Source organism: Homo sapiens, chromosome 14, assembly GCF_000001405.40.
Source record: "Homo sapiens chromosome 14, GRCh38.p14 Primary Assembly".
Classification (NCBI taxonomy): domain Eukaryota; kingdom Metazoa; phylum Chordata; class Mammalia; order Primates; family Hominidae; genus Homo; species Homo sapiens.
In genome coordinates this window covers 59626763-59647715 of record NC_000014.9, presented here as the reverse complement: position 1 = coordinate 59647715, position 20953 = coordinate 59626763, and the positions used below count along the sequence as shown (strand labels likewise).

Here is a 20953-nt window from a genome sequence, read left to right as displayed (position 1 = left end):
TTTCTTCCTTAATTTCATTATTTACCCAAAAGCCATTCAGGAGCAGGTTGTTTAATTTCCATGTAACTGCATGTTTTGAGTTTTTTGTAGTCTTGATTTTCACTGCTATCCAAGAGTGAATTTGGTATGATTTCAGTTCTTTTACATTTGCTGAAAATTGTTATATAACCAACTGTGTGGTTGACTTTACAATATGTGCCATGTGGTGATGAGAAGAATGTATAGTCTGTTGTTTTGGGGTGGAGAGTTCTGTGGAGATCTATCAGATCCATTTGGTCCAGTGTTGAATTTGGGTCTGAAATATCCTTGTTAATTTTCTGCCTTGATCATCTGTCTAGTTCTGTCAGTAAGTGTTGAAGTCTCCCACTATTATTGTGTTGGAGTCTAAGTCTCTTTGCAGGTCTCTTGAGAACTTGCTTTGTGAATCTGGGTGTCCCTGTGTTGGGTGCATACGTATTAGGAGAGTTAGGTTTTCTTGTTGAATTGAACCCTTTACCATTATGTAACGCTCTTGTCTTTTTTGATTTTTGTTTGTTTAAAGTCTGTTTGTCTGAGATTGGGATTGCAACCCCTGCTTTTTTCTGTTTTCCATTTGCTTGGTAGATTTTCCTCCATCCCTTTATTTTGAGCATATGGATGTCACTGCATGTGAGATGGGTCTCTTGAAGACAGCATACCATTGGGCCTTGCTTCTTTATCCAGCTTGTTACTATATGCTTTTTAAATGGGGCACAGAGTGACAAGCTGGTTAAAGAAGCAAGACCCCTTCAAGATTATTATTGATATGTGTGGATTTGATTCTGTCATTGTATTGTTATCTGTTTTTTATGCCAGCTTGTTTGTGTGGTTGCTTTATAGTGTCACTGGCCTCTGTACTTGTGTTTTTTTTTAATTGGCTGGTAATGGTCTTTCCATATTTAGTGCTTCGTTCAAGATCTCTTGTAAAGCAGATCTGGTGGTAATGATCTCCCTCAGCATTTGCTTATCTGAAAAGGATCTTATTTCTTCTTCACTGAGGAAGGTTAGTTTGGCTGGATATGAAATTCTTGGTTGAAGATTTTCTTCATTGAGAATGTTGAATATAGGCCCCCAATCTCTTCAGGCTTGTAGGGTTTCTGCTGAGAGGTCTGCTGCTAGCCTGATGGGGTTCCCTTTCTCTCTAGCTGCTTTTAACATTCCTTCTTTCATTTTGACCCTGGAAAGTCTGATTGTGTATCTTGGTGATGATATTCTTATGGAGAATCTTGCAGAGGTTCTCTGTATTTCCTGAATTTGACTGTTGGCCTCTGTAGTGAGGTTGGGAAAGTTTTCACAGAAGATATCCTGAAATATGTTTTCCAAGTTGTTTGCTTTCCCCCAATCCCTTTCAGGGATGCCAGTGATTTATAGTTTGGGCCTCTTTATATAATCCCATATTTCTCAGAGGTTTTATTTGTTCCTTTTCATTATTTTTTCTTTATCTGTATATGACTGTCGTGTTTAAAAGAGCCAGTCTTCCAAGTTCTGAGATTTCTTCCTCAGTTTGGTCTATTTTGCTGTTAATTCTTGTGACTGCATTGTGAAAATCTTGCAGTTTGTTTTTCAGCTCTATCAGATGAGTTCTTTTATACTGGCTATTTTATCTGTCAGCTTCGGTATCATTTTATTTTGATTGTTAGTTTTCTCGGATTGGATTTTGCCATTCTCTGGAACCTCAATGATCTTTGTTCCTATCAGTATTCTGAATTTTCTTTCTGTTATTCCAGCCAACCCTGGTTAAGAATCCTTGTTGAAGAACTAGTGTAGTCATTTGGAGGATATAAGACACTCTGGTCATCTGACTTGTCAGAGTTCTTGTGTTGGTTCTTTCTCATCTCTGCATTTAGGTGTTCTCTTAACTGCTGGGCTGCCTCTGATTGAAGCGGTCAGGCAGGGGCAGAGTGGTTGCACTGGAGTCCTGGGCCTGGTAACTCTGCCCAGTGAAGAGAAGTGAGGACCAGGACCTGCGTGGAGAACAGTATGGACACTTTTCCATTAGGTGGATGCTCTGTGCTGGGGGTTCAGACCAGTGCCGGGTCCCCATGGACTCTCTAGAGCCTGGAGACAAGAAGGGTGAGGGCTGTGAGACAGCAAAGATGGCAACCCACCCCTCCCACTGGGAGCTCTGTCCCAGAGAGCTGAAGAACTGCTACTGGCTCAATAGCTCCAGTGGGGAAAGGCTGGAGACCCAGGCTGGGAGAACCTGCCCAGTGAGGAGATACGGGAACAGGGACTCATGTAACAAACATATAGAAAACATGTAACATGTAGAAAACATGTAACATATAGAAAACATGTAATATATAGAAAACATGTAACAAACATATATAAAAGTCTGGCCACTTTTCCATTGGGCTGCTGGAATATGCAGGAGGTCTGCTCCAGTTTCTAATCACCTCAGATTTTCCAGCACCTGAAGGTATCAACAATCAAGGCTGCAAAACAGCAAAGATGGCAGTGTGTCACTCCCTCTGGGAGCTCCATCCCAGGGAGGTATGGATCTGTTGCCAGCTTGAACATACTGGCGAGGGTAGTTGTAAATCTTGGTCAGGAGATTCTGCCCAGTGAGGAGAAATAGGGTCCAGGACCCATAAGGAAAGGCAGTCTAGCTGCAGCTTCACAGAGCTGCTTTGCTGTGCTGGGGAACTGCCCCAGTCCCTAGTTGCCTTGGACTCTCTAGAGCCCTATGGCAAGAAGAGCTAAGGCTGTGAAACAGCAAAGATGGTGGCCTGTCCTCCCCCTGGGAGCTCCATTCCAGGGAGGCTTGGAACCACTGCCAGCTGGAAAACACTGGCAAGGGCGGCTGGTGACCCCAGTCAGGAGATCCTGCCCCATGAGAAGCAAGGCCAGGGACCCATGGAAAGAGAAGCAGTCTGGCCACTTTTCTGTAGGGTGGCTGTACTGAAGGCAACGACAGCCAAGGCTGTGAAACACCAAAGATGACAGCCTGCCCCTCCCTCTGGGAGCTCCATCTCAGGGAGGTATAATGCCACCATCGGTGGCTAGCTAGACTTCCAAACCAGTGGGTCTCGTCCTGTGAGGTACCATGGAAACAGGGTCTGCAGACTGTCACTGCTCAGTCCCCTGGATTCAGCCCCTTTCCTCGGGGTATGTATGGGGGTCTAACCTCCCACTTTGTCAGTTACAGCTGCTTTTGCCAGGAAGCCCGGGTATCTAAAGCTCCCGGGGCTCCACGTGTGCCTGAGCAGCTGCTCTGCCAAGACTCCACATAGCTCTACATGTCATACCACAGGCCCTGATGGAGTGGGTTCAATGAGGTGATCTCTTGACCTGAGGGTTGTAAAGAGACCTGGGAGAAGCATGGGTCTTAGGGTCACTCACTCACTCACCGATTCCCAGGTAGGGGAGGCTCCCCTGGCTCCATGTTGCTCCTGGGTAAGTGATCATCCTGCCTTGCCTTTCTCCATTCTTTGTGGATTGAGTTGTTTTCTTGATGAATCCTAATACATGTACCTGGATGTTTCAGTTGAAGGTGCTGTATTTATTCGCCCCTTCTATTGCTCTCCATAAGAGCAACACACACCAGTTGCTTCTAGTTGCCCATCTTTAAAACTTAGAGAGTTATTGTACTTTTATCTCCAGAATTTCCTGTTAGCTCCCTTTTAGAGTTTCTGTGTCTTTATCAGTACTTCCTATTTGTTGAATCATTATCATCCTATTTTTCACAAAGTCTTTAAATGTAGTTTCTTTTTATTCTTTGAACATATTCATAGTAGCTGCTTTGAAGTTTTTGTCTGCTAAATCAATATCTAGACCTAGTCATAGTAAGTTTTTATTTTTTTTTCTTGAGTATGGATCATTCTTTTGTTTCTGTATGTCTAGTAATTTTTTGTTGAAAATTGAACATTTGGTTAATATAATGTGACAACTTTAGATTCTGACATTTTAACTGAGAGTTATTGTTATTGTTTTGATTTTTTGTTTGTTTTTAGTAACTTTTCTGACTTAATCTGACTGATCTATCTTTTCCATGGTATATAGCTGCTGATATCTCTGCTCAGTTTTGTTTTTATTGTGTATCCTGTCTTACTAAGCATCCCCCTTTTGTCTGCATAGTTCAGCAGACGGCTAATGATAGTAGTGCTCAAATGTCTCAAGTTCACAAAGTTTCAGCCTTCAACTAGTAGATCTGTCTGAGGCATGCATTAAAAGTTCAGGAGGCCAGGTGTGGTGGCCCACGCCTGTAATCCTAGCACTTTGGGAGGCCAACGCGGATGGGTCATGAGGTCAGGAGTCCGAGACCAGCCTGACCAAGATGGTGAAACCCCATCTCTACTAAAAATACAAAAATTAGCCAGGCATGGTGGCAGGCACCTGTAATCCCAGCTACTCAGGAGGCTGAGGCAGGAGAGTTGCTTGAACACCTCAGCCTCCCAAATAGCTAGGACTACAGGTGCACAGCACCATGCCTGAATTTTTTTTTTATTTTTTGTAGAGACAGGGTCTCCCTAAGTTACCCAGGCTGATCTCAAACTTCTTGTCTCAAGCAGTCTTCCCACTTTGGCCTCCCAAAGTGCTGGGATTACAGGAATGATCCACCATCCTTGGCCTTGTGTTCTTTCTTTTTTCTTAGACTAGCCAGAGGCTTATTGGCCTAAAACAATCACATTTCAAATGCCATCTATGAGATCACTGAAACCAGAGGTAGGCCTAGCCTAACTAAAACTGCAACCCACCATAACTCAGCTTAATTTCTGATGGGAATTTATCAATTCCTCAGTTGCTACTTACTAGAGGCAGGAGCAACTTTTCTGAAGGAAAATAGCATCAACTGTCAGTCTTTGTGATTCTTTAATACACAAAGCCCATCATGCTATAAGATATTATTAGACATATAACAGGCAAAAACATGAGACCAACAATCAAGCAAAAAAGGAGATGATAGAAGCAGACCCATAGATGATCCAGATATTGGATATGGCTGATAAAGACTTCAAAATAACTATTATAAATATGTGAAAGAAAATTGATAAAAAAGATGAAGAATTTCAACAGAGACATGGAAACTATTTAAAAAAGTAAAATTACTAGAACTGAAAGGTAAAATTTCTGAAATTATGACTTAATTGACTATGTTTAATAAGACTTTGAACACAGAAGACAGAATTAGTAAACTCAAAGATAGCTCAATATCAAATATCCGAAGTGGCAGATAAAGAGAATAAAAATATAAAAAGAAAAGAGTAGAGTATAAAAAACTTGTGAAACATTTTCAGAAGGTCTAGCATATGAAAAATTGCTTTCATAGAAGAGGAGAAAAGAAAATGGGTCGGAAGGAATATTTGAAGAAATATATATGAGACATTATTCAAAATTGATAAAAGGCATCAATCCACAGATTTAAGAAGCTCAGTAAACCCAAAAGGAATAATAAAACTGTCATAATCAAGCTGCATCAAACCAAAGCTAAAGAGAAAATCTTAAAAACAGTCATAACAGTTACTTTCTAAGAAGCAACAAAAAGACTAATTACTGACCTTTCAACTGAAATTATTAAGTCTAGATGTTGGTGGAATGAAATATTTAAATTGCTGAAAGAAAAAAACTGCCAAATTAAACCTCTGCCCAATGAAACTATCATTCAAAAATGAAAATAAGATAAAGTTATTCTCAAAGAAAAGTTAATATAAATACTTGCCATGACCTGAGATAAAAGGAATGGTAAAGAAAATTCTTTGGACTGAAACAAAAGGATCTCAGATGGAAGGAATGGTATGAATGGTATGACAGGAAGAGATGAAAAACACTGGAAAGGATAAATATGTGAGTAAATGTGAAAGATTATTAATTTTTTTACAACAAAAAACTGTTATATAATTTGGTGTTTATAGCACCAATGATATATAAAAGCCCTAGCACAAAAGGAGACAGAGACTAAGGGAGTTTGATGTTGTAAGAAACTTGTATTGTACAAGAATTTGTAAACTTGCTAATTTAAGATTGGCTTCAACATATTAAGGATGAACATTGTAATTTCTAGAATAATCACTAAAATGTTCAAAAAGAGGCCTGGCATGGTGGCTCATGCCTGTAATCCCAGCACTTTGGGAGGCCAAGGCGGGTGGATCACCTGAGGTCGGGAGTTCAAGACTAGCCTGACCAACATGGTAAAACCCTGTTTCTACTAAAAATACAAAAAATTAGCTGTGTGTGGTAGTATGCACCTGTAATCCCAGCTATTCAGGAGGCTGAGGAAGGAGAATTGCTTGAACCCAGGAGGCAGAGGTTGCAGTGAGCTGAGATCGCACCACTGCACTCCAGCCTGGGTGACAGAGTGAAACTCTGTCTCAAAAACAAACAAATAAATAAATAAATAAAATGTCCAAAAAGATAAAACTATAAGCTATTAGAAGAAATGATTTATAAAAATATACTTGATTAATTTCAAAGAAGGCAAGAAAAGAAGAACAGGCCAGGTATGGTAGCTCATACCTGTAATCCTAACACTTGGGAGGCCAAGGTGGGTGGATGTCCCAAACCCAGGAGTTCAAGACCAGCCTGGGTAACATGGCAAAACTCCATCTCTACAAAAAATACCCCCCCCAAAAAAATTAGCCACGTGCGGTGGCACATGCCTGTAGTCCCTAGCTGCTTTAGAGGCTGAGGTGGGAGGATCACCTGAGCCCAGGTCAAGGCTGCAGTGAGCCATGATTGCACCACTGCACTTCAGTGTGGGCAACAGGGCAAGACCCTGTCTCAGAAGGAAAGGAAGGAAAGTGAAAATAAGCTTTCATTTGAAGAAGTTAGTAAAACAATAGTGAATTAAAGCAAAAGAAAAGAAATAATTGAAAATAAAAACAAAGAAACAAAATGGAATGAAATAGAAAGCAGATATACAATAGATAAAAAGAAAAAAGTAAAAATTTTATTCTTTAAAATGAATTCATAATATTGAAAAATCTTCAAGATGATCAAGAAATAAAGAGAAAATAAAATTTAACAATATCAGAAATGAAAGAAGGGACATGGCTATGGCACCTCCATTTTGTTAAAAAACATAAGATGATGTTATAAAAAATTTATGCCAAGAAACTGACAACATATTTAAAATGGACAAAGTCAGGCCAGGCACGGTGGCTCACGCCTGTAATCCCAGCACTTTGGGAGGCCGAGGCAGGCAGATCATGAGGTCAAGAGATCGAGACCATCCTGGCCAAGATGGTGAAACCCCATCTCTACTAAAAATACAAAAATCAGCTGTGCGTGGTAGTGCACACCTGTAGTCCCAGCTACTCAAGAGGCTGAGGCAGGAGAATCGCTTGAACCTGGGAGGTGGAGGCTTCAGTGAGCTGAGATCACGCCACTGCACTCCAGCCTGGTGACAGAGCAAGACTCCATCTCAAAAAATAAATAAATAAATTAATTAATTAAATAAAATGGACAAATTCATTTGGAAATAAAAACCAACATTGACATAAGCAGAAATTTAAAAATGGAATTAGAATAATCCTAACATCTATTAAAGAAATCTATAATTACAAACTGTTTTACAAAGAAAAGTCCCAGCCCAGATGGGCTTGGTGGTGAATTCTTCCAAATATTCCAATATGAAATAATACCATCTTACATAAACTCTTTCAGCAAATACAGGAGGGAGTAACATTTTCTAACTTGCTTTGTGAGGCCAGTATAAACCTAATACAAAAATCTAAGCTATCACAAGATGTACAAGCATATTGCAAGAAAAGAAAATTGAAGGACAATATTTCTTCAATATGGATACAAAAATTCTACACAAAATATTAGCATATTGAATCCAAATTGAATAGTGATATATTAAAATGATGTCACATAGAAGCCATGTGAGGTTATTCTAGAAATGCAAAGTTTAACATTCAAAATTTGATGCATGTAATTTTTATATTAAAAAAATAAAAAAATCCATGTGGTCATCTCAATAGCTTTAGAAAAAGTATTTGATAAAATTCAATATCTGTTCATAACAAAAACTCTCAGAAAACTGGGAAACAAAGGACACTTTATTAATCTGATAAAGGACAGCTAAAAACTCACAGCCAACATCATACTTCATAGTAAAAATTTTGAGCACAGTTTTCCCTTACTTCAGGAGTAAGACAAAGAATAATCTGTTACCACTTCTACTCATCATTATACTGGAGGTCATAGCCAGTGCAGTAGGACAAGGTAAAAGAGATAAAAGTACAAAGATTGGAACGGAAAAAATAAACCCATTTTTATTCACAGAAGATATGATTACAAGCATACCTCATTTTATTGTACTTTGCAGATACTGCTTTTTTTAAAACACAAATTGAAGGTTTGTGGCAAACCTGCATTGAGTAAGTTTATTAGCACCATCTTTTCAACAGCATCTGCTTACTTCATGTCTCTGTAACATTTTGCTGATTCTTATACTATTTTAAACTCTTTTCTAGTTATGACAACTGTTATGGTGATCTGTGATCAGTGATCTTGATATTACTGTTGTAATTATTTTGGGGTGCCACAAACTGCACCTATAGAAGATGGCTAACTTAATCAATAAATGTTGTGTGTGTTCTGACTGCTCAACCAACTGGCCATTCTCTAGTCTCTCTTCCTCTTCTCACGTCTCTTTATTCCCTCAGACACTGCAGTATTTCGGTTAGGCCAATGAATAACCCTACAGTGGCTTCTAAGTGTTCGAGTGAAAGGAAGAGTCATACATCTCTCACTTTAAATCAAACGCTAGAAATGATTAATCTTAGTAAACAAAGCATGTTGAAAGCTAAGATAGGCCAAAAGCAAGGCCAAACAGTTATCCAAGTTGTAAATGCAAAGGAAGAATTCTTGAAGGAAATGAAAAGTACTATTTCAGTGAACACATGATTGATAAGAAAGCAAAACAGCCTCATTGCTGATATGGAGAAAGTTTCAGTGGTCTGGTTAGAAGACCAAACCAACCCTAACATTCCCTTAAGCCAAAGCCTAATCCAGACCAAGGCCCTCACTCTTTAATTTTATGAAGGCTGAGAGAGGTGAGGAAGCTGCAGGAGAAAAGTTGGAAGCTAGCAGAGGTTGGTTCATGAGAGTTAAGGAAAGAAGCCTTCTCCATGACATAAAAAATGCCAGGGGAAGCAGCAAGTGCTAATGGAGAAGCTACAGCAAGTTATTCCAAAGATCATTGATGAAGGTGACTACATTGCAGCTGGTGACTTTAAGTTGAAGACAATGTTAATTTACTATTCAGAACATTCTAGGGCCCTTAAGAATTATGTTAAATCTACTCTACTCTGTCTATGCTCAATAAATTTAACATCAAAGCCTGGATAACAGGACATCTGTTTACAGCATAGTTTACTGAATATTTTAAGATAACTGTTGAGAACTACTGTTTAGGAAAAAATACATATTCCTTTCAAAATATTACTGCTCATTGACCATGAACCTGGTCACCTAAGAGCTCTAATAGAAATGTGCAAGGAAATGAATGTTTTCTTGCCTGCTAACACAACATCCATTCTGCAGCCCATGGATCAAACAGTAATTTTGACCTTCAAGTCTTATATTTAAAATACATTTTGTGGCTGGGCGCAGTGGCTCATGCCTGTAATCCCAGCATTTTGGGAGACTGAAGGGGGCGGATCACCTGAGATCAGGAGTTCGAGGCCAGCCTGGCCAACATGGTGAAACCCTGTCTCTACTAAAAATACCAAAATTAGCTGGGCGTGGTGGCAGGTGCTTGTAGTCCCAGCAACTTGGGAGGCTGAGGCAGGAGAATCACTTGAACCCAGGAGGCGGAAGTTGCAGTGAGCCGAGATCGCGCCACTGCACTCCAGCCTGGGAGACGAGTGAAACTCCATCTCGGGAAAAAAAAAATTGTAAGTCTATAGCTGCCATATTAAATGCTCTGGAAAGGGTTCACCATTCTAAATGTCATTAAGAACATTTGTGATTCATGGGAGGAGGTCATCCTCCATAACAAGAGTTTGGAAAATGTTGATTCCAATTTTTTTTTTTTTTTTTGAGACGGAGTCTCCCTCTGTTGCCAGGCTGGAGTGCAGTGGCACGATCTTGGCTCACTGCAACCTCTGCCTCCCAGGTTCAAGCGATTCTCCTGCCACAGCCTCCTGAGTAGCTGGGACTACAGGCACGCACCACCACACCCAGCTAATTTTTGTATTTTTAGTAGAGATGGGGTTTCACCATGTTGGCCAGGATGGTCTCGATCTCTTGACTTCGTGAGCCGCCTGCCTCAGCCTCCCAAAGTGCTGGGATTACAGGCGTAAGCCACCGTGCCTGGCTGATTCCAATCTTTATGGATGACTTTCAGGGGTCCAAGACTTCAGTGGAGGAAGTAAGTGCAGATATGGTGAAAATAACAAAAGAACCAGAATTAGAAGTAGAGCCCAAAGATATGACTGAATTGGTGCAATATCAGGATCAAACTTGAATGGATGAGGAGTTGCTTCTTATGGATGACCAAAGAAAGTGGTTTCTTGAGATGGAATTTACTCCTGGTGAAGATGCTGTGAACACTGTTGAAATGACAACAAAAGATTTAGAATATTACATAAACTTAGTTGATAGAGAGTGGCAGAGTTTGAGAGGATTGACTCCAATTTTAAAAGAACTTCTACTGTGGGTAAGGTGCTCTCGAACAACATTGTGTGCTACAGAAAAATCTTTAATAAAAGGAAGAATCAATCAATGTGGCAAACTTTACTGCTGTCTTACTTTCAAAAATTGCTGCAACCACTCCAATCTTCAATAACCATGACCCTGGTCAGCAGCTATCAACATCGAGGCAAGACCCTCCACCAGCAAAAAGATTATTATGAATTACTGAAGGCTCAGAAGATTATTAGCATTTTATCAATAAAATATTTTTAAATCAAGGCATGTGAATTTTTTGTAATCATAATGCTATTGCACAATTAATAGACTACAGTATAGTGTAAACATTACTTTTATGTGCACTTGGAAACCCCAAAAATCATGTGACTCACTTTATTGCAATATTCACTTCATTGTAGTGGTCTCAAACAGAACCCACAATATCTCTAAGGTATGCCTCTATGTGCATAAAAATTTTTAAAGAATCTTCAAACGGAATTAATAAGTAAATTTAGCAAGGTCACTATATAATACTCTATTAACCTAGTGTGTTAGGCTGTTCTTTTGTTACTATAAAGGAATACCTGAGACTGGGTTATTTATAAAGAAAAAAGGTTTAATTGGCTCACGGATCTGCGGGCTGTACAAGTATGCCACGAACATCTGCTCAGTGTCTGGCGAGGGCCTCGGGAAGCTTACAATCATGGCAGAAGGTGAAGTGGGAGCAGGCACATCACATGGCGAGAGTGGAGCAAGGGAGCAGAGGGCAAGAGGGGTGGTCCCAGACTCTTAAACAACCACACCTCATATGAACTGAGTGAAAACCCACTTATCACCAAGGGGATGGTGCTAAACCATGAGGGATCCACCTCCATGATCCAATCACCTCCCACCAGGCCCCACCTCCAACATTGGGAATCATATTTCAACATGAGATTTGGAGGGGAAAAATATCCAAACCACATCACTCGGTATAGCATTTTCCATTTCTACTTTAAACTTTCCTATTTCAACTATGTATTTAGATTTTCTTTTGTAGGCATCCTCTGGCTAGATTTTTTTCATCCAATCTGATAGTTTCCATCTTTCCAGCTGGTACAAGTTAGATATATTTAGATGTATTTCCAATAATGTAAGTCCTCAATGTCATAGGTTCTTGGAAACTATAACTTTAAGTGAAAAGATGTACAGCAGGTTCTTCAATAATGTCATTTCATGCAAGGTAGATTCATTATTAACACTGATGAGAAAAAAAATATTCATTCTCTTATATGTCTTTTTCTTTAAAGTTGCAGTTTCCAAGAACCTATCAACGATGTTAAGTGAGGACTTATGACACTTCATTTTGTGCTTTCCATTTACCAGTTCTTTGTATTTTCTTATTTTCCCCTTTCCTAATTTCTATTGTTTGATTAATTCTCTAGTTTATGCAATTTATTTATTTAGAAGTTATATATTCTAATTATTTTCTTTTCCGCTGACAAATATTTAATACACAAATATGAGTTGCCAAAGTCTACAGCTGGTACTTCTATTTTCCTCCTAAACAATGAAAGGACTGTAGAATGCTTTTACTCTTCCCACTCCCTTCCACCTTATGTTCTGTTTTTGTCTCCTGTTTTAATTTTACCTTTCTTTTATAAATCCTCAAGCTGGCCTTTAATAATTTTTATGTCCAGCATTTTTTTCATGCAATTCATTTCTAAGGTTCAATTTTTTTCTTCCTAAAGTGTCACCTTTGGTAGATTTTTCTTCAGGGTCTGCAATTAGTAAATTTTCTCATTGATTACATATTTGAAAAGGTCTGTTAGTCTTGCTGGGTATAGAATTCAAGATGATGATTACATTCGTTTGCTACTTTGAAGATGTTATTTTCTCAAACTATTAGATTCTGGTTCTATTAAAGACTGCTGTTGGTCTAACAGTTTCTCTGAGGTAATCTGCCTTTGATTTATGCTTGCTTTTAAGATTTTCTCCTTGTCTGCGATGCCTTACATGTTCACTATAATGTGGGTCGGGGTATTGATTTATTACTTGTCTTGCTAAGGGCTGATTGACTGTCATAACCCTAGAATTTATCATTTCTGGAAAACTGCAAATTTGGATAAATTATTCAAGTTCCCGTGTTAGTCCACTTCTCAAAACCCTTCAGTGTCTCCCTCATTTACTGCCAGTATTACTACTCAGGACTGGCATGATCTAGCCCCTGCACATTTCTGTAATTAAGTTTCCCATTAATTCCATTTCTGTCTGCCAGGAAATCCCCATGACTCAAACTGGTGATGCTATTTCTTGTTCATAACTCAGCTCAACTTTACCTACCCTCTAAAGCCTTTCCTGAAACCTGTTCTTCTCCCTAGCCACTCTCTGTTTGTGTACCCACTCTTTCCTGCTCATAGGTCTGTTAGTTATTGCATTTATCTATTTATGTGTAAAATTTTCCCCCTCTGGACTCGAGTTCCCAGTGGGCAGCTCCCTTTGTATTTATGGAGACAGGTCCTTAGTATGGGCTCTATAAATATTTGTAGATCAAATGAATAAATGAATCAAGAAATAAGGGTAAACACTAACTCATAGGGATCTTGTAACAACTAAATGTATACCACATGAAGAAGCACCTGGCAAATAACATGTGCTAATCTATTGTTTGAAACTCCATATTCATGCATTATTCTGCTACAGTGGGTTATGTGCCAAACTGGTTGCCTTTTAAAATTTCCTTATTCCATATGGCATAGAGTTCTCAGTGTTCTTTGATCATAATGAAGTATATTTTTGGTTCTGTGCCTTTTATTCCAATTGCTATATTTCTCAGAACAAGAAAAAAATGAAGATGCTTATATAGTGTACCAATTATTACATTCTGTCATGAAAACGCAGTGCATCTGTGAATGTTCTTCTCCCATATATCTTAATGGCATTCTCCTGCTCCTTTAGGTGTCTGCTCCGGGCCTTTGCTGACCCTCCTTATAAAATAGCAAATTTTCACCTCACCTCCACTCTGTCCTCTTTTATGTGCTTTATTTTTCCCATACACTTGTCTACAAATGAATATTATATATTTACCTTTTTGGTTATTATTTGCCCACACATAAACACCAGCGTATAAAGTAGGAACTCTGCTTTATGCCTAGAACAGTGTCCAGCACACAGCAGGTACTCAATAAATATTTGTTGAATAAATGTATCAATGCAGATGCCACTGATTCCCATCAGTAAAATTCTGGTGCCAGAGGAGACAGACACAATAAAGCCACTCTGGGAATGCTAGCCTTCAATATTAATCTTGACCTGGGATGAGATTACAAAACTTGACTATTTTGCTTTTCCTGAGAACAGACTGCCTAATGCATGATTTAATCCTGAAAAGTAAAGAAATCACTTCCTCTCCTGGCAAGCACCTTAACCAAGTTCTAAGCTGGCTGCAGATAAAGCCCGTCTGTTCTCTACTGGTTTAAAGATAGTGGCAGTTCCTGCCTACTTTTAGCAAGCTTTATTTTGCTTTCTGTTTTCTTTCACCACTTAAGGAAAATTTACATATCTTCTCTACCCATTTTATCGTTTTGATCTTGGCAAGAGCTTTCAATTAATACTGTGTGAGCAGTTGTGCAAAGAAAGCACCCATTTACGATGTTTATGGGAAATAAATTCTTATTATTTCATAATGACAAACACCTAAAGCTTCCATTTATTTGTATTATAATTATGAGAGGTCCAGAGATGATAAATGACTTGCTGAAGGCCATGTAGCTAACTTTTACAATACAGGTGATTCCTAGTTTTCCGTGAATAAGTTCATTTATGTTTCTCTTACCACCTACACATTAAGCTAAAGCCCGCCAATTTTTACTTCACTAGTGTGAATCTGTCTGTGAAATAGCCATCTTACTTCCTCAACCTTCAACTATCAAACTGTTAGAGTGGATTTTTGTGTGCCATCCAACATCTCTCTCCACACTTAGTATGAATGAAAATAATGTGATCTTTCAGCCAAGCTGACATTCCAAGGTCAGCTTTTAGACGGGGTCTCACTATGTCACCCAGGCTGGAGTGCAGTGGTGCGATCACAACTCACTGCAGCCTCGATCTCCCTGGGTTCAAGTGATCTTCCCACTTCAGCCTCCCAAGTAGCTAGGAGTACAGGTGCATGCCACCATGCCCGGAAAAAATTTTTTTTTTGTATTTTTTTTAGAGATGGGGTTTCACCATGTTGCCCAGGCTGGTCTTGAGCTCCTGGCTCAAGTGATCCACTCACCTCGGCCTTCCAAAATGCTAGGATTACAGGAGTGAACCACCGCGCCTGGCCCCAAGGTCAACTTTATGGTCAATGAAAACGCCTGGCCCAGAAAGTCTGACCTAATGTATCCTCCACTTTAAAGAGAGCTTGCTTCTCCCTGTTCCTTATTGGGAACATTGTGTATTCACCATACACACTATACAGACTGTCAGATTGGCAGTACACGCTGTTTCCCGTAATGTGGTGGACACAATACTCATCAGTAAAGGTACCTGCTGGCACCTTCTGGACTTAGGGAATGATAACTGGGGCTATCATTGGACTGGCAGTGCCTCCTAGTGGCCACAGCTCTAAAGATCTCCCTCCAACTGAAAAGCAGCCAGGGCAGCAAAAGCCCACCAGGCAACCCCTGCCTTACCCTCTCCTTTCTTCTCAGTCTTGTCCTCATATCATGCAGTGAGAAGTCGGTGCTGATCAGGCTATCATCATATACCAGTCTTTTCAGTATTTAACTGACAGAATTCCCAAAAATGACGTGGCAATGAAAAAAATTGGGAGGAGGGAGGAAAGGTAGGGAATACAAATAGAAAAAATAATCAAGAATAACCTTAGAGTAGGTCATTGTGAAAAGTGCTTTGTAATAATGTGGTCATTGTTGTTCCTTCCCATCAGCCCTGTGGGAGCTCTGACACCCCATTAAGCTTTATCAAGAATAATTTCAGATATGTTACAAAGATACGCAGAGAGGCCCAGCTGGTTTCTCCACAAGCTTGTATTCTGAAAAGAATACACATGATCCCAAAGATCGTATTTTAAAGTGTATATGCTTCATTAAAATGAAAGATGATAAATCATGTCTACAAGCATAACCTTGAGATTACTGTCCTTAGGCCCATGCTGGTGTGGGGTATGCAAATGTAGATTTTGATCTGGGAAAGAACACCTCTGGCAACTGTAGAAGAATCGGGAAGGCTCCACTTCTCTATGAAAAAGACCCTGTAATGGATAAGGCCATGCCACAAGATGAAGTGGAAAGTTTGTTCCTGCTCCCTCTGAACTCTTCTGTATGCTCCCGTGGTCTCCAGGGCATTCTCTGTCCTCATGCAGTGTCTTGTCTCCTCTAGGGACCCCTTCCAACAGTACCTTCTTTTCCAGACAATGCCCACATTCCAGTCCTTTCTCTTTCCTATTTCTACCTTTTCTTCATCAAAATACATTTATCCCATCCATTCCTTCAGGGTCTTGATGTATGTTCTGATAAAGTAGTTTATGGTAAGATTTAAAAAGCAGGTCACCACCCATTGTTCTGTTCCTTCCTTAGACATTTGCATTTTAACTGTGGACTCCTGACATCCTTAACTACCTGGGCTTGGAAGCCAAAAGTCTTATCTCCCAAATACACACCACCCACCTCCATTGCCCCCCAGTGGTCAATCCCAAAGATGACACTGTTGAGACAGAATGCCCTTTGCTTCCCTGAGTTCTGTTTGAACGTCCCCACAAATGACACCCTTGGATTGTCACTGCATTGACCAATGACTCCACGTACCAGAGTCCAAGGGCTTTGGTCTGGGGTCTACAGGCACCGCATTCTGACATGGATTCCTTCAACCCACAAACAGAGAGGGGTAACCCAAGAAATACACAAGCCCTCTGGGACAGAGCAGTAGGCTTTCTCTCCAGTGATTGTTGCTTGCCAACAAAGGTTTTGGATATCTGTGGAATATTCCAAAAGGAGAGAATCTGGCAATTCTTCAGAAGATTCTGGGCAATTAAAATTCATCGAGTTCAGATTTTTAAGAGTTAGAGGGAGAAGTGAAAGGTAAACGGTGGCAACAATTAGGGAACATTATGCTGCAAGCCTGACATTTATGATGCCGTTGACTTGGTCTTGTCCAGCAGGTTTCTTGGGTTTCTCAGAAATTTCTAGAATATGCACCTCGCATATTCTGGGAGTCAAGAACTCCCAGGAACAGCCCAAGTCCTCCTCCTCTCACCCCCACCGTCAGCCCTTTTTCCCCTCCTCCCAAACCTCCCACCCACTGTCCGCGTCAGCGCCTTCGCGGCCAGAACCGCTTTACCCGTCTCCAGGGTAGCACCCTTGGGCAGCCCAGCCAACGCTGTCGCGTGGAGCGGCGCCCGCATCCCCATGCGCGCAGGCGGCTCCGGGGCCGCGCCGCGCTGATTCGCTGCCGGCCGCGCAGACTGCGGCGCCAGCGACGCTCCCGCCCCTCACCGCGCGCCGCCTGGTGCAGCCTCAGTCTCTCCGCAGCCGCGCGGCCACTGCGAGCCCAGCCGCAGCAGCCGGGCACCAACGCTTGAGTGCACGCTCGGCGCCCCCGAGGAGAGCCACGGCGAGCCCCCAAAGCCCGCACGATGCAGGCCACTGCCGATTCCACCAAGATGGACTGTGTGTGGAGCAACTGGAAAAGTCAGGGTATTCTCTTTATTTCAGTAGTGCATGCCTGAGGCGCACGGGAAACCCGGGACCTGGACTCGTCCATTGTGCATCATTTCACCTGTGGGACCTGTGCATGCTTTATACCCCAGAGCTTTGTGTTGGGGGGTAGTAAACCTCTTATTTCAAGAATCAAAATGGATGGTGCTTGGTTGTTGTTTTTTTCTTTTTTTTTTTAACCCCACCCCCACCCCTTTGTTTTCTTGTTGTAATGCTGGTATTTTAAATAATGCATCAATCGCCTCCTCCGGGAGTTCTTTTGGGATCTGTGCATCATTCAGTACTTGTTTAATGTTTTCTCATCCCCGGAGTTAAAGTGCTTTCTTATTGTTCCATGCATCCCAGTGCATTTATTTCTGCCCAAAGGTTGAAATCTCCTGGCAGAACCATTAACTGAGAGGGCTGGAGTGCATCCTTTTAAGAGGGACACACCCATTTCAGGGTTGTTATTTGTGGTCACACAAAGGAGAGTGGAGATGCAGACTAGCTCTCGAAATCCTGAAAATATGATGGCGTAGCCACATATTAGGATGGTTCACTTTGAAATATTTGGGGTTTTTTTCTGTCATTGGAGTAACCTGTGACTACTATTTATTAATAATAGGTATCTGTGAAATAAATGGAGGGAAAGAACGAAACAGTGCCCGTGGCCCTTGGTATAACAGATTTATTTTGGAATAGTCCATATTAGCACTGGGTGTGGCTACCCTCCAGCCTCGCTTGGATTGCTTTTCAGCCATTTTTATTCAGCCTCACACTTCACACATCCATCTCTCCTTTGTTACATTAAAATTCACCTTGCAGTTACAGAGTATGAGGAGAAAGATAATTTGCAAGAATGAATTGTGTGTAGTAACTTGGGTGTTTGTCGGAGGTAGTGTCTTTTCATATTTAACAAAGATGGTTCTGAAGAAGGCGCGTTTAATTTAACCTGCAGGGTTTTGCAGCATCCCTCAGGAGACCAAGAATACTCTGGAGCAGCAGCTGATTTTGTAAAAACCTGGCATCTTCCCCTTGTAATTCTATATCACAGGAAGGATAGGATGTCCTTTTATCTTTAATGCCTCTGTAGGGTTTTGCTTCGGTATATATTTTAAGAAAAAGTAAACATAAATCTCAGAATTAAAAGCCTGCTTACCTTGCCTCTTGTTTGTTGGATTGGGTGGCAATGACATAAAATACAGTCGTCTACTTCAAATTATGTGAGTGTTGGAAATACCGTTGTCAAAAGTAAATCGATGGAGCTGATAAATTTAAAAGCCAGTAAATAAGAAATGTATGCCAGTTGAGGCACAATGTTTTGAAGAATGATGACAATTACGTGGAAGAACATATGTTCAATATAGAAGGCAGCTGTGAAAATATTTTGTAACATTTTATTCTTGTTCTGTGTTTAGATCCATCCAGTTTATTTGATATACACACCTGACAAACAACTATGGCTTGGTATAAGATCAAATTTAGTTGGACATAAACACTGGATTTTAGACCATGATTATGAGTTTCTAGTATTTTTAACAAAAGTAGATATCCAAAGATGGCAGGTTTTCTTTTCTATTTGTATAAGATATTCACAAAATCTTATGAATTAAATATCTTAATCTATTTCATCACAATCTTATGCGGTTTGACTCGGTTGCCTCAGTTTATGTCTCCGAGGTTTTAAAAAAACACATGGACTTTTATCATTAGAAATTAACACAAAATGTCATAGTTTCGCCATTGAAGACAATAATTTTTCATTTCTGATGCAGAGCTACTTGTGAAGATTAATTGAAGATCATTGAGAATCTTTTATACTCAGCGACCTTTGGTCATCTTTAGTACCATTGATTTCCTTTTGTTAGATGGAACAAATCCATTATCTTGAAAATTGACTAATAAGTAACTGGGTGGGAGGACTTATGAGCACAAAAGAGAAATTGTAAGGAGTGAATTATTCCTTTTTTTTCTCCTCACTGTGAGAACTTTTAACCTTAACAGAATCTACATTGAGGTTTTGTTGTTGTTGTTGTTTAGCATTTTTAGTGTATCCTCTTCCCTTTAGTTCCCTTATTATCAAAAACAGTTGTGCTTAACCCTGTCTGCCCATTAGAATCACCTGGGAAGCTTTAAAAACCACGAAGGATGCCTGGGCCCCACCTTTTGAGATTCTGATTCAATTGAGCTGAGCATCAGTATTTTTTGAAAAGCTCCCTAGGTGAGTTTAATATGTAACCAGGGTTGAAGTCACTGGAATATTATTATTATTTTGTAGAGACGTTGTCTCACTATGTTGCCCAGGCTGGTATCAAACTCCTGGCCTCAAGCAATCCTCCTGCCTCAGCCTCCCAAAGTGTTGGGATTACAGGCTTGAGTCACCATGCCCGGCATGGTGTGTAATAATTCTTAGTGAGCCAAACCCATAGACCAGCAGAGGTCCAGGATACCAATTTAAAAAAAAAAAATGGGTGTGATCTAGAAGCAGCTGTGAATGCAGTGGAAAAAGGTCAGTGCAACACTGTTGATGATGTCCTCCAGAAGGATTAGGAGGGACAAGTTTTGCTTGGAAAGGAAATAATGTGAGCTTTAGGTTTTCTTCATGTTATTAAATACTACATGGAGAAATTGCAGCAGATTGAATATTTCATGAAGACTCCACTGAAACTAATTATAGTGTGCCATAAACACTGTAGTGCACATGCAGAAGGAACCTTATCAACATATATAATTTCAGCTACAGACAAGAATGTTTAAAGAAAGGGAGGCTAAAGTCCTCCTTATATATACTACATCACACCAATTCTGCTTCTAATTTTAAAAAGTTATACTACCACCAAATATTGGTTAATAAATCAAAGCACATTCTACTCAGTGAAAACAAAATGAGAATTAAATGACAACCTAGCAAAACACCTGTATAGATAACAATCTTACAGATCAGTACCATCCTACAATTTACAGGACTCTTTACTGAGTGGTTTGTTTGAATTACTACATTTAGTCCCCACAAAACCTGTGTGGTGTAAGTTTTATTATTGTCCTCATTTTGGAGGGGATGACTGAGGCTTTGGTAAGGGCACACAGATAGTAATGCCAGAGGCTGGCTGCAAGCCTGGGCTGTCTCCAGAGACCCTCACTTCCCACTGCTCCACCTTCTGCCGCTGAGGTTGATGGCTTTTTCCTCAATGATTTTTCTAAAGGTTTAAATTATCTATGTAATGGTGATTGTGTAGGCTTAATAACCCCTTCACATTTACAAGTCTTCATTTTGCCAGACGTCTTCTCATTTGAGCTTTTCAGTTTACTCTTGGACATTATGAGGCTCAGAAGTTAACTGACTTGCCCAAGGTTTTTTGGTAGCAGATTGTGTAGTAAAAGGTGATTCTCTTGGCTTCAAATCCATAACTCCTCCCATCTCAGCACTCACTGCCTATCTTACTAACACTAAGTTAGAGAAAGTGAACTCTCATCTACCTCATCTGAGATATTTTCACAGACATTCTAACCTTTACAAATACAACAAAATTTAGCAGCAAGGCCATGATCTTGACCAATTTATACCATGGTTGTCACTGTCATCACCACCATCATCAATTCATCATTCTAAATTCTCCGTAAATATTAGCTACGTGCCAGGTGCTGTCCTAAGTTCTTGTTACATACCTGCTTTAATTAAGCCT

At 40.2% G+C, this 20953-nt stretch overlaps 1 protein-coding gene and 1 non-coding gene across 3 annotated transcripts in view; both read left to right on the top strand.

Moving 5' to 3' along the window:
• Positions 1-20953, top strand: part of RTN1 (reticulon 1) — a 274801-nt gene that overhangs the window by 223061 nt on the left and 30787 nt on the right. The window contains exon 1 of one of the 2 annotated variants that reach the window (NM_206852.3): positions 17093-17270. The exons of the other annotated variant lie outside the window; for it this stretch is intronic. Within the exon in view, the coding sequence (NP_996734.1) occupies positions 17210-17270 (61 nt within the window). The 5' untranslated portion in view covers positions 17093-17209. Of the gene's footprint in view, positions 1-17092; positions 17271-20953 lie in introns of those variants that run through there. 2 annotated transcript variants of the gene reach the window in all.
• MIR5586 (microRNA 5586) lies at positions 696-754 on the top strand. The gene has a single exon (NR_049851.1). It is a non-coding gene; the product is annotated as a microRNA 5586 (primary transcript).